We start from the raw sequence: 13,401 nt of genomic DNA, 5'->3' as shown, positions 1-13,401 counted from the left end.
GGCTCAATATTTATCCCCCAAAAGGTGAAAAGCACCTGCTGCAAGCCATTAACCACATCCAGTGACAGAACTCATGCACCTGCTGCTCCCCACCCTTGAGGGTGCCCATCTTTGCTCAAATTGAAACTACCCAGGTGAAACAAACACAACAGCCCTTTATGTTGTGATTTACTTCAGATGTTCGCAGGGAAGCAGTAGGTAGGCCTATGATATCTGGGATCCATTAGATGGCTGTATTGCATTTCTTTCCATTAACAAATGTTTCTTCTCCCAATGCAAGGGGTGAGCTCCGTTGCTCCCCAGAGTCAGCCTCTAGACTGTGTGGGGAACAAACATTAGGAAAACCAAAGTGAGGCTTTCTATCTTATATCTGTATGGAGCACTGTGGTATTCTGGGCTTATCACCCTTCCCTGTCAGGGAGTGGGAAGATGTGCTGGAACTTTCCCCTGGAACACAGCTGGAGTCCAGCTTGTTGGCTTCCAGACAATGTGGAGACAGCGTGGCCTGAGGCAGAGGCACTGAGCTTGTTGTCCGGAGACCCAGTTTCTGTTTCACCTCTCACACTAATTTGGATTAATGAGATTGTATTGTATGTCCTAAGTTTTTCCTCCCTCTCCACTCTTGCCATTGTTCACTGGGGGTAAGGTATCTTTTCTGGTCCATTGGCTTTGGCCTTGGTCAGTTGACTTGCTTTGGCCAATGGAAGGTGGATATGACAGGTTGCTAGTTACAAGCTGAGGCTCTAAGGGCTGTCACTGCTTATTTCTCTTCTGCTTTTGCCAGTGCCATGAGAAGAACTTGCCCTGGGTGGCTGCTGTAGCCTCCAGATAAGATGAGTCCCCAAGTACTACTGGTCAACCTGCACACTTGTGAGCAGAAGCAAATGTTTGCTGTTGTAAACCACTAAGTTTTGGAATTGTTTGGTACTTGACATTTGTATTAGTTCATTTTCATGTTGCTGATAAAGACATACCTGAGACTGGGAAGAAAAAGAGGTTTAATTGGTCTTACAGTTCCACATGGCTGGGGAGGCCTCAGAATCATGGCAGGAGATGAAAGGCACTTTTTACATGGTAGCGGCAAGAGAAAATGAGAGAGATGGAAAAGCGGAAACCCCTGATAAACCCATCGGATCTCATGAGATTTATTCACTATCAAGAGAATAGCATGGGAAAGACCAGCCCCCATGATTCAATTACCTCCCCCTGGGTGCCTCCCACAACATGTGGGAATTCTGGGAGATACAATTCAAGTTGAGATTTAGGTGGGGACACAGCCAAACCACATCAACATTATTGAAGCAATATTTGATTGACGTAAAGATTTCAAGTTCCTTAATGTTTGAATTTTTCTATTTTTGATCTGAGGTATGATTTGCATACTATAAAGTAAAATGAAGAAATTTTACTATTCTTACTGTTTGATGAGTTTTGACAAGGTTCCACATTCATGACCACCATCCCCAACAAGCTATTGACCATTTTCTATCACTCCAGCAAATCCCTTCATGCCCCTTTCTAGCAATTCTACCTCCCCCTCTCTAGAGGCAACTGTTTTTTAATTTCTATCACTAGCTTAGTTTGCCCATTCTTGAGTTTCCTATAAATGGCATCACACAATGCAATCTCTTTGCATTTGGCTTCTTTTGATCAATGTGATGTTTTTTGAGATTCATTCATGTTGTGTGTCTCAGTAGTTTGTTCTTTTTATTGCTGACTAGCATTCCATTGCATGAACATCCACAATTTGTTTACATGTTTACCTGGTGATAGACGTTTGGGTTGTTTCCAGATTTTGGCTACTATGAATAAAGCTGCTTTGTTTTCAGCAGATGTTTTCTTTCCTCCTTGGTAAATACCTGAAAATGGTATTATTGGGTTATAAGGCAAATTGTTTTCCAAACTGGTTATGATATATTACCTCCAATCAACAATTTATTAGAGTTTCAGTTCCTTCACATCCTTGCCTTGTGGATTTTAGCTCTTCCAGTAGGTGTAGAGTGACATTTCACTGCGTTTTTAATTTTCATTTCCCTGATGAGTAATGGTGGTGAGAATCTTTTCATGTGTTTATTGGGCATTGTTGTATCTTCCTTTATGATGTGTCTATTTAAGTCTTTTGTGCATATCTTAAATTGGATTTTTTTCTGTTTTCTTATTGAGTTGTAAGAGATTTTGATATGTTTTCTATATAAGTCCTTTATCACGTATAAACCTTGTAAATCTTTTTGCCTAGATCTCTGATTAGGATTGTAGATTTGACTATTTCTTCCTTCAGTTGTGTTAGTTTTTGCTTAATAAACTAATGTATTTTGAAGAACTGTTATTTGATGCATAATTTGAGATTATGTCTTCTGGATGAATTTCTTCTTTCATCATTGTGAAACGTCCTTTCTTATCTCTTGTGATACTTTCTGCTTTAAAATTTACTTTATCTGATACTAATATTATAGCCAGCTTTCCTTTGCTTTAAGTTTACTTGTTAGATCCTTTTCCCACCTTACATTTTCAATCTGTTTGTGTCTTTATATTTAGAGGATTCTCTTAGACCACAAATATTAAATAGTTGGATCTTACTTTTTGTTTTGTCAGTCTCTGCCTTTCAATGGTCTTTTCTTCCCACTTAAATTTAATGTAATTATTATTGTTGTTGAGTTTATGTCTATTGCCTTGATATTCATTTTTATTCTCTCACCTTTTTTGCTTTTTGCTTTGCTTCTCATTTCCTGTCATCTTTTGGATAAATGAAGTTTTTTCCCCCCACTATTCCATTTTACCTAGTCTCCTTATTTTTCTTAGCTCTACATATTTACATAATTTAAAAATAGTTGTTCTGTGTAATAATAAAAAATTTTAATTGTCACAGTTATATGCCTTCCCATGCCTGTAATGATTTGTAAGAGTACCACTAAATTTGCTTCTCTTCTAGCCTTTATGCACTTGTTGTCATTTATTTTACCATTATATGCTATAAACCCTACAGTATACTTTCATTAAATTTTTTGTTTTGGTCAATAGCCTTTTAAATAAATTTCCTATAATATAATACAGATAATTTAAAAGTATTTTATGTTTACCCTTTTTGGTACTCCTTGTTCATTACTATTAATCTGAGTTTCTGTCTAATACTTTCCTTCAGCCGGTAACATGTCTTTTAGCGTTTCTCGTAGTTCAGGTTTCTGTCTATAGAGGAGTCCTTTTCTTCCCATCACTCTGCTGGGGACACAGCAATCTTGAGTGTCTTCTCTCCTTGGAAGTGTTTGTTAATTTCTAGATTTTATTTCATTTAGGTTTCTTAGTGTCGTCAGCTCTCTAATGGGTTGTAAAATGATTTAGAGCTTACTTTTTGCTTTTTTGGCTAGGGTGGGTGGCAGTGAGAGTGTCTGGCAACTTCCTGAATCAGAACGAAAGTCCAAGATTTAGTTTCCTCTTTTTTGTTTGTTTGTTTGTTTGTTTTTTGAGACAGAGTCTCACTCAGCCTCCCTGGCTGGAGTGGTGCGATCTCGGCTCACCACAACCACCATCTCCCAGGTTCAAGCGATTCTCCTGTCTCAGCTTCCTGAGTAGCTGGGATTACAGGCACCCGCCATCATGCCCAGCTAATTATTTTTATTTTATTAGAGACAAGGTTTCACCATGTTGGCCAGGCTAGTCTTGAACTCCTGACCTCAAGTGATCCGCCTGCCTCGGCCTCTCAAAGTGCTGGGATTACAGGCATGAGCCACAGCGCCTGGCCAGTTTCCTCTTTTTAAGATGAGCAGTTTAGATTCTATTTATTTATTTGATCAATAAACATTTCTGAACAGCTCTTCCAGAAGCTCAGCATCCAGACTATAGCAAAGAATAAAGCTTTTCTTTCTATGACTCCTTAGATTGAAGTTTACATTTTTAATATGGCCCCAAATACCCTACTTTTATATGCTTTTTTTTAAAAATACTTTGCACTTCTTTACATTGATACTTGGTGATTCTGACACTTTTTAATTTAGTATTTGTTTCCCAGCTTGACTCTCAGCTACATAAAGGGAGGTCCATTCATTTTTACATGGTTGATCTGTGCTTTCATGTGCATTTTCTCCCCATCCTTCCTCCCACCCTGGAAATGCCTTTTCCTTCTTTATTCAACGATCATTCTCACTCCCCTCTCTTGAAGTCACCCTAAAACATCTCCTTCCTTCATACTCCATCCCCAAATCCAAACAGACCTATCTCTTTGACACGCGGTAAAAATGAAGTTTATGGCTCATTACTCAACTATCTCCGGATTTGAATTAAGAAAGCATATTCCAGGGTAACCCTACTGCCTGGGAAGGGTTGGTGTGCATTTTATTATCTGTGTAATACTGGTTATTAAATATTTTTGTAAATTGCTCCAACAGGACTATCAGTGTATTGCATGGTGTCTATCTCATAGTATGTGTACAGTACCTATGTGTTGAATAAATTAAGGGCCTCCAGACTGATTACATGGGATGGCACAGATTTGCCAGCTACTAGACTCTAGTTTATGCACTAAGGTACAAAAATAAATGAGGCCTTGTCTCTAGCCTTAATTGGGATTAATGCATATATATTAGACATGTACATTGTCCCATCCCAACTTTTTGCTCTGGTCATTGCTGTGGACACATGCTGCATTCAAACACAACCCAAGTACACTTGGCAACTCACCACATCTCTTGCTGTCTGCCTGATTGTCACTACTCCCTGAGCCCACCCTTGATCACTGGGGGACAGGATCTTTTGGATAAATACATACTCTTCTGTTTTTAGGTGGATAATTCTAGGCATACTTTACACAGACTCCCAGAGGACTCCATCCCCAGTTGATGAAGCCCAGTTGCCCAGCTCAATAATTACCGCTTGGATGACTTTCCCTCCTCTCATATTTTATTCTTCCCAGTCCTCCACTCCTGTTACCTGAAATCACTTTTCAAAATAAATTCCCTGTCTTAGCTTTGAGATTAAGCTGTGAAGAACTTCAGCTTCCATCATGACCTTTATACCTCTTGGGTCACTTGATCTGGGAGAATGCAGCTATCATGTCATGAGGACATTCAGGCTGCCTATGGTGAGGCCCACATGGTGAAGAATTTGAGTCTCTGGCCAAAAGTCAGTGAAGAGCTGACACCTGTCAACAACTGCATGAGTGAGCCTGGAAGCAGATACTCCAGCCACAGTGGAGCCTAAAGATGCCTGCAGCCCTGGCTACCAGCTTGACTTCAACCTCACGGGGACCCTGAACCAGACCCACCCAGCTGAGCTGCTCCTGGATTCCTGAGTGCTGTAGCTGTGTGGGATAATAAATGTTTGGGATAATTTGTTATGCAACACTAAATAACCAATGCAGAAAGGAGTTATAAGAAAATATGATGAACTTCGAAATTACAAGCAGGCATTTAGGTTTCCAACTCCAAAAACTATGATTACATCATCATTTAGGTCAACGCTGTTGAGATTAAATGCGTTGTCTTTAGAGACAAACCACCAACATTACATTATGCCTCTGGCGTGTACTACCTTTGTGATCTTGGGCAATTTGCTTGACTTCTAAACTAATTTACTCATCTGTAATATGGGACTGGAATTCATATCTATCTCAGAGAATAGAGAAATTTAAATGAGATGTTACATGCAAGCTTTTATTATGGTTCTTGTGTGTGATAAGCACTTAAAAATCATTAGCTATTATTCTTAAAAATAGTCCCAAAACTATAGGGACGAAGAGGTTAAAAATAAGGTCACAACTTCCCTTTTCTTGGTTTATTTGTAGTCTCTTCTAGCTATTTTCAAAGATAAATTCAACATAAACTTTTCCCCTTTCTTCTTAATCAACTTAGCTCAGGAGTCCAAGAATTTGAAGAAGTATAAAGGTATATTCAATACCTTTAATTAGTAACCGCTAATACATTTTCCCAATGTGCCAACAAAAAGGTTGAAAGTAATCAACTGGGGGAAGGTTAATTAACTCAATCTTTTATAATTCAGAACAGGCTGGGATGTGCTTCAAAACACTTCATTTTGGGCAGAAAGCCTTATGCCCAAAAGAGAAAGAGAAAGAAAACTCAATCCAAATTAAAGTTGAGACCACACAAACAACAAAGCCAAGAAGACTGACAAACAACTCAGCCTGAGTTCCCTTTTTTCTAAAGACCTACCCATTCCCACTCTCATAGTGGAGGCTGGTGCTGGGATTGTGGCTGAGATGATCCAATTGGAGGAAATGGGTAAGTCAGTTTCACCCAGAACAAAATCTGGATAGGCAAAGCAGGTGGGAGAACTAGTCAGCATCCTGAGGAAAGTCAAGTGTCACCTTAGCCACGAGATGACGTTTCTCTGAATGGCTCTGCCCTCTCCTTTTGTATCTTTCTCCCACATACCGACTTTCTTTGATTTCCTTAAAACTCTGCATCTGGCAGGTATCTTTTCTCTCTGTCATTTGGACTGTATGGATTGAAGTCACTGAACTGCCACTCATGAGGACATTTGTGTGTAAAATTTCTCCATCCTCCCTGATAGGATTTCAAGCATCAGGGGGACACTTGGGGCAGGACTTCTCAGAACCCAGGGAACCATTCTGGTTGGGCTAGTACCAAGAGCTTAGTAAAGCACCTTACAACCCAGAAGGGTAAGGCAGGGCCAACAGAGACATAAGCCCAAATGAAGAGCACAGTCTCTGGGGAAAGAGGTTGACATCTGCAGTTATTAGGAATTTCAACTAATTCCATTGACATTAGGGAATACATTTAAAGGAAAGAACCCCTAACCCCTTCCCCACTATTTTTTTTTTTTTTAGTATAGCACTTGTAGCCTGGGCTTCTTTGTGTCAGAATTTTATAATTAGATCAGATCAGCCTTACAAGAAAAACCTTCATAGTTACTTTTCCTTTTCTCCCAACCTGGCTGTGACTATGTCTTGGCCTTCTCTTGTTACCCATTATACCCACTGCAGTGCCAGCACACAGTGGTTGGATAACTGCATACCTCTGAGATGCATGAAAAGCCCACCCCTTCTTGCTGGGACTATCTGAGATAGTGAGTGTAACTTGAAGAAATGGTACCTAGCCTTTGTCCAGGCTTAGGATTTGAAAAAACAAATAAACATAAAATAGAAGACTCCTTTTTTACTTTCCTTCTTATCTTTAAATCTTAACCTAAAATCTTTTTTTTAATTTTTAATTTTTGTGGGTACATAGTAGGTGTATATATTTTGGGGGTACATGAGATGTTTTGATACAGGCATGCAATGTGTAATAATCACACCATGGAGAATGGGGTATCCATCCCCTCAAGCATTTATACTTCACATTACAATCTAATTATACTCTTTTAGTTATTTTAAAATGTATAATTAAGTTATTACTGACTGTAGTCACACTGTTGTGCTATCAAATAGTAGGTTTTACTTCTTTCTGTTTTTAATACTTATTAATCATCCCCACCTTTACCCCATACCCCCACTACACTTCCCAGCCTCTAGTAACCATTCTTTTACTCTCTATCTCCATGAATATAATTGTTTTGATTTTTAGATTTCACAAATAAATGAGACCATAGGATGTTTTGTCTTTCTGTGCCTGGCTTATTTCACTTAACATAGTGATCTCTAGTTCCATCCATGTTGTTGCAAATAAAACATCTTCTTTAGAGAGAGGAGAAGAGTCTTGAAAAAGAGCGGAGAAAAATTGAGGGGAAGTAAAAGGGGGAATGAGTGGAGTTCACAGAGGTTCATTCTGTAGGGGTTTGCATCCTAGCAGGGATCAGGCTTGCAACTGACAAAAGATGTGTGACCACTCTCCCCACTCCTCCCATCATCTCTCCACCCAGGAATTATGCTGTGGCAGGAAGTCACCTCTTAACTTTTCTTCTGTACTTGTGGGAGCAAGAGTTCTAAGAGGACATGATAAGTGTTTAGTTTCTTTGCCAATCAGTATCCCCGTAATTTTGGAAATGATGATTCTGGAGGCTGGGCATGTCATTTTTGACTGACCATCTGGTTCACTTACTGGTGCCATGAAAAATCTGCATCATCTTACCGCATCATTGACTACAAGGAGAATGTGTCAGGTCTAGATGTGTTTTAGCATGACCATCAACACTGCTAGGACTCTGGCATAGTTGAATGAACAATGCATCCAGATACTAGATGTGGGAAGTCCAGACTTGGTTCTGACGTGTGGGACAAGTCAGCTGACTCTTCCAAGCCACCAAGTCCACTTGTGCTAAATGGTGGCATCATCAGATTCAGTGAGCTATTCCTTCCTTTGTCCTTGTATGAAAGTTGAGATTTACTTTTTATCAGTTATTTAAAGATCTAAATTACACAGCAATGACAAATGTGCTTCTATGTTCAACTTCAACCTTTGGAATTAACTAGCTTTCCAGGTCTTACTTTGTTAAACTTAGGTCATGATCCACAATGTTCTCTCCAGGTTGATCTGTTCAAGTCACACTTAGCTCATCATCACTTATTTCTCTACTACTGGAAAAAATTCTGAGTAGGATTTATAGAATCTTGAAACACTATCAAATACTTGCTCTCATGTACAGACAGCTATGGAACCATAACATAAATCTCTCTACAAGCAGATGTGGTAAAATGAATCATTAGGCAAGCAACATAAAAATAAACAGCTCCCACTCATTGGATACTTTCAATGTGCCAGGTATATGTGCCATGTGCATTGCATATGCTAACTTTTTAAATCCTTACCACAACCCTAGGAAGTGGGATTTATATTTTTACACTTGAGGAAACACACTGCAGGTGGGCAGTCAGATTGTGTTGGACAGATTTTGGTATAGCTCTTCTAGGTTCCTCCAGACACCCCTTCCCATTTCCACAGTCCCTGGAATCAGTTTCAGTATACATCCTTCACTAGACAGCAGGACCACAGCCTACAGGCTCTGGAGTCATCTTGTCCTGGGGGTGAGTTCTGGCTCTATCCCTTGTTAGCTGTGTGATTTCATGGAGATTTCCAAATCTCCCTGGAATGCAGTTACCTCCTCTGTAGAATAAAACTAATCCCAGCTATCCGTCAGAGTTGCAATGAGGCTAAATGAATTCATAGGCACAATGAATTTGCCCAGCTAATGCTGATCTACTCCTACTTGTTCCTTCATTCTCCCAAATGCCCTCTCTTCTCCCTCCTGACTCATCTTGCTTGCTAAGTCATCCACTGTTTATTTCTTGTGCCTCCCTGGAAGAAAGATGACATCTGCTTCTTGTCTGTAAGCCTCTGTTGTGATTTCTTCACTCTTCTCTACCCACAAGTATTTCCTTTCTGGACTCACCAACTTCCTTAGGCTGGGATGCACCAACCTTCACATTCTTTGAAGAAGAGCCTGTGGGGACTCCATCCCAGTGCTTTGAGCAGCCTATCCCTCCTTGCTCAGTCTCTACAATTGCATGCTAGCATCCAAGAGTAGCCATGTAACAGCAGCCCAGAGAAGAGTCAGGGGAGGTTATTGGATTCGAATTATAAACAAAGCTATCCAAGAGTTGTATAATTAGATTGGAAGGAACACAGTTACAGCTGTTTTAAGGGTTGTGACCCAAACTGACAGAGATAGGAAATTCTGGGAGGCAGATGCCTCATCAACCTTGCCTTTGAATGGCCTGTTTTTTTTTTTCCTAATACATTGCTCCCCTTCAAGGTATTTTGAGCTTCTAATTTCTGAATTTTCATTTTTAAGGCATTTATAGAATGTTATACCTGGGATACTGATGGACTCCTTTGAAACTTAAATAACCCAAAGGAGCCATCCAAAACTCTGGGTGGAATATGTATTCATGCATTTTTAAAAAGGTATATTATATACATCAGAGACTTGGATGGCTCATTAGGAAGAGTTTGGTGGAGTGTTTAATTCAGGATTTAATGTGCTGTCCATGGACTAAGCTTACTGGGGCTGTACTAAAGCTGTTTTGTTTTACTTTATTTTCCACAGTAACATCTAAATCCTAAAGCATTTACACAAAATGACTAACTAATCATTTGCATAGTTTCATTTTTGAAATCGAAGGCTTTTTCAAGTTAGATGAAAACCAGACATACCTGATGCCAATATGCCTTCCGTGAAACTTAAATAATCTTTGTAAAACTTTCTTTTCTTCTTCTCCTTCTTTTTCTTTTTTTTTTTTAAATTACAACTCAGCTGAAATGAGAGATTTTAACTCTTGTCTCTTAGAGTTTTTTTGTGTGTGTGCTTGGATCCTCGCAGTAGAACTTTTGTGATTCCTCATAGAAAACAAGCTTAACCTGAATTAAACTATATAAGCAATTATTAATATTTTTTCTCTGGAATATTAATGCTTTTATATTTTTCAGGATTAAAAAAGATAGGATGGTAGTAGCCAGGATTTAGAGGGAAGCTAATGTGATGATTAACATTTTGGGAACTATCTATTCAAGATGTGAAACGACTGATTAGGTGGAGAGAGACAAAATTGACTTTCTGTACCTTGTGCATACTTCAGGATCCCCATTTTCCTAGTTCTTGCCCATCCACTTCTCTTTTCTTCATTTTTTTCCGCCAAAACATATAGATAGAAAACATCTCTCACTTTGCTGCTATTTCAATTGACCATATAGAAATATCTAAGTTTCTAGTGGGTCTATATGGGCTGCTGATTGCCACTGAACATTCATTCTTCTAAATCCTGAGGAGCTGCAGAGACAAGCAAATTCAGTTCTCATCTGAAGAGGAACAACCTTTCTTCTCTTGCTGTAGAGAGAATGGGTCACATTGAGGGTGCTGATGAAAGCCTGAGAGACACAAGCTCTTATCCCATGCCTCCTGAGCCTCCTAGGGTATCACAGCTGTGAGAGAAGATGCTAGGAAAGGTGAAGCATATGTAAGAAGCAACATAAAACACTTCTAAGCTATTTAACAGTCTAACTGTGGATAGAACATACAGAAACATACTGATTTGAGATGTAGTGGATGCTGAAAATTTCCTTCTCTAGGTGTTCTTGAAACTGGCAAAAGGTTTGTGTGTTCTTTAATCTGTTGTTTCTCATAGCATTAAGTAATGCATTGTGTTGTGGGTACAAGAAAGGGAGAAAGAGAAGAGACCAATTTTTTGAACTTCTGCTACGTGTCAATCAAGCCAATCACTGTGGTAGGTATTTTACATACATCAATTATTTTGTTCCCTGCCACCCAGCAAAATGATCATTATTATCTCTACTTACCAATGGAGAAGTTGAGGCTCAGGGTGAGAAATTGATCCATGGCATCATGCTGGATTACTCATTCTTGTCTTGGTTTTGCACATAGCTAGCTGTGCAACTCACATAGTATCTCAATTTTTCTCCTTTGAAAAATGAGTGAGTTGGACTAGGGCTTTGTGTATTCTGGAAGGAAGGTTCTGGATTCTAATATTCCAAGTATTTTCTGTGAGTTCTGTGATCTCTTCCAAGAGGGATAATTTAGGTGGCTCCCGTGTTCCACAGAGTCTGCAAACTCATCTGGCAGAGCAGGCATTAGTGGTCCCCAGTGCACTGGAAAACCAAAAGCATTATCTGAAACCTCCATTGTTAAGAACTGAGGGAAACATGGCAAAAGAGACTTTTCTGGATGGAGGAAGTGAGGGCTCAGATGACCGCTTTTTTTGTTGGTTTGTTTGTTTGTTTTTTTAAAGTGATGAGTTAAGGAATTGCAAGTTACCTTGCAAGGAAAACACAAGGTGTGAGATTTGTGATCAGAAACTGAAGTAACCCCTTGGTCACTTCTCAAATGTCTCTGGTGCCCCTTCCTACTTGGTCTGACTGCCACATCCTTCTACATTCAAGACTATGTTAAAATAGCTTAGACTTGCTTGCTTGATGTCTCCATTTTTTTAGTTCTTTCTAGCCTTCTTGCTAAGTCTTCCTCTTACCTCCGGCCTCATTTATTTTGGATAAGACTCTCCTATAAATCCCAAGATTACTTTGCCACTCTTAAGACTGTAAACTGGTTAATATGCTCTGAATGAAAGGCTATGGTAAGTTACTCTGCATGAGATGTAAATGCAACATCATCTGACACAAACTGCTCCTGGAACTCCAGATCTTTGTGTTGCAAATGAGCATTTCCATTTCAAGCCCTGGAGTAAATTATTTTAAAATACATTTTCTGTAAACACTATGGCTTTGGTTTCTGGCATGCTCCTCTTATAATCTTCAGTTCAGAGGAAAGACTGAGATCAGCTTTGAGCTTTTCTCTTAACCAATCCCTACTCCACTATCAAATAGTCCCATCCCTTGTGTAACTAATCCCTTTAATTTTTCTTTAGCTTGTGTGAGGATTTTCACCTTAAATTAGAAAAGTAACATATTTATAGACTAACTCATTTGTGATTTTACTAATTAAATTAGAAAAGTAATATATTTATAGACTAACTCATTTGTGATTTTACTAATTTCTGGGTCAGGTTCTTCTATCTTTTATAACATATTGATGATGCTAGGAAATTTTCAGCAATGTTTCAAAAAAAAAATCAGGATCTCAAGTGGAAAGCACAAATTAAAGACTTCCAAGCTAGATACAATGTTAGGTGCTGCACAAAATGTAGAGAAGTGCTGTTTATTCCCTCAAGGAATGTACATTCTTGTAGACAAATTCAAAAATTGCTGCCATGAAAGGCATGCCAATGTACTGTTGCTGGAGTTCAGAGTCAAGGGGACTGCAGGTGTTGGACTCATGTGGCAATGAGATCACTAACTGCTTCCTATCTCAGAGAGCTGCTGCTTGCAGGGACATCATGCTCTGTGGAGACTTATGGATCTCTAAGTGTATCCATCTTCTCTCTCTTATCATCTTGGAAAAAGAGTTCATACTCCTATCAAAGGCTAAGTCCTGCCCTCGAAGTTCAGCATTCAATCTCCTCGTGCTTTCAAAAATATTTAAGTAAATTAGAAGCTTTATTGAGGTAAGACTGACTTTATGTTCACATGCTATTTGGTTTCTTAGTAATACTTGAGATGGTTAGCACTCACTTCTCCTGGGAGAGTCTCCCATTTTCCTGCCTGTGGACATTACGCCTCCTGAATGCCCACTTCCTTTTGGGCTGCATTTCCTCTGTCCCCATTAAAGATTCCCTTGCTTTCATTCAACCCCAATTCTAGGATTTCTAAAGACTAAGAACTGAGCTAGAATCTTTTTTCTTTCTTTTCTTCCCTTCCCTATGTCATCTAATCCATTTTTATAATTTTACGTAGTCTTATAATAATAGCTCCTAATTGTGTTTATCTAAACTACATCTTTCCTTTAGACTTTTATCTTACTTATCCAATTGCCTGTTTCATATTTCCATGTAGATGTTTCACAGACATCTGAGACAACCATCCAAAATGCAATGTTTGATTTCCACCTCCCCCAAGCCCATTGTTGCTGATCTCAGTTTTGGCTCTAACA

At 39.1% G+C, this 13,401-nt stretch overlaps 1 long non-coding RNA gene across 1 annotated transcript in view; it reads left to right on the top strand.

Moving 5' to 3' along the window:
* Window positions 1-13,401, top strand: part of LINC01722 (long intergenic non-protein coding RNA 1722) — an 87,316-nt gene that overhangs the window by 60,260 nt on the left and 13,655 nt on the right. The gene's annotated exons all lie outside the window — the stretch shown is intronic.

This window comes from Homo sapiens, chromosome 20 (assembly GCF_000001405.40).
Source record: "Homo sapiens chromosome 20, GRCh38.p14 Primary Assembly".
Classification (NCBI taxonomy): domain Eukaryota; kingdom Metazoa; phylum Chordata; class Mammalia; order Primates; family Hominidae; genus Homo; species Homo sapiens.
Note: the sequence above shows the minus strand (reverse complement) of the source record. Positions and strands in the feature narration are given on the sequence as shown.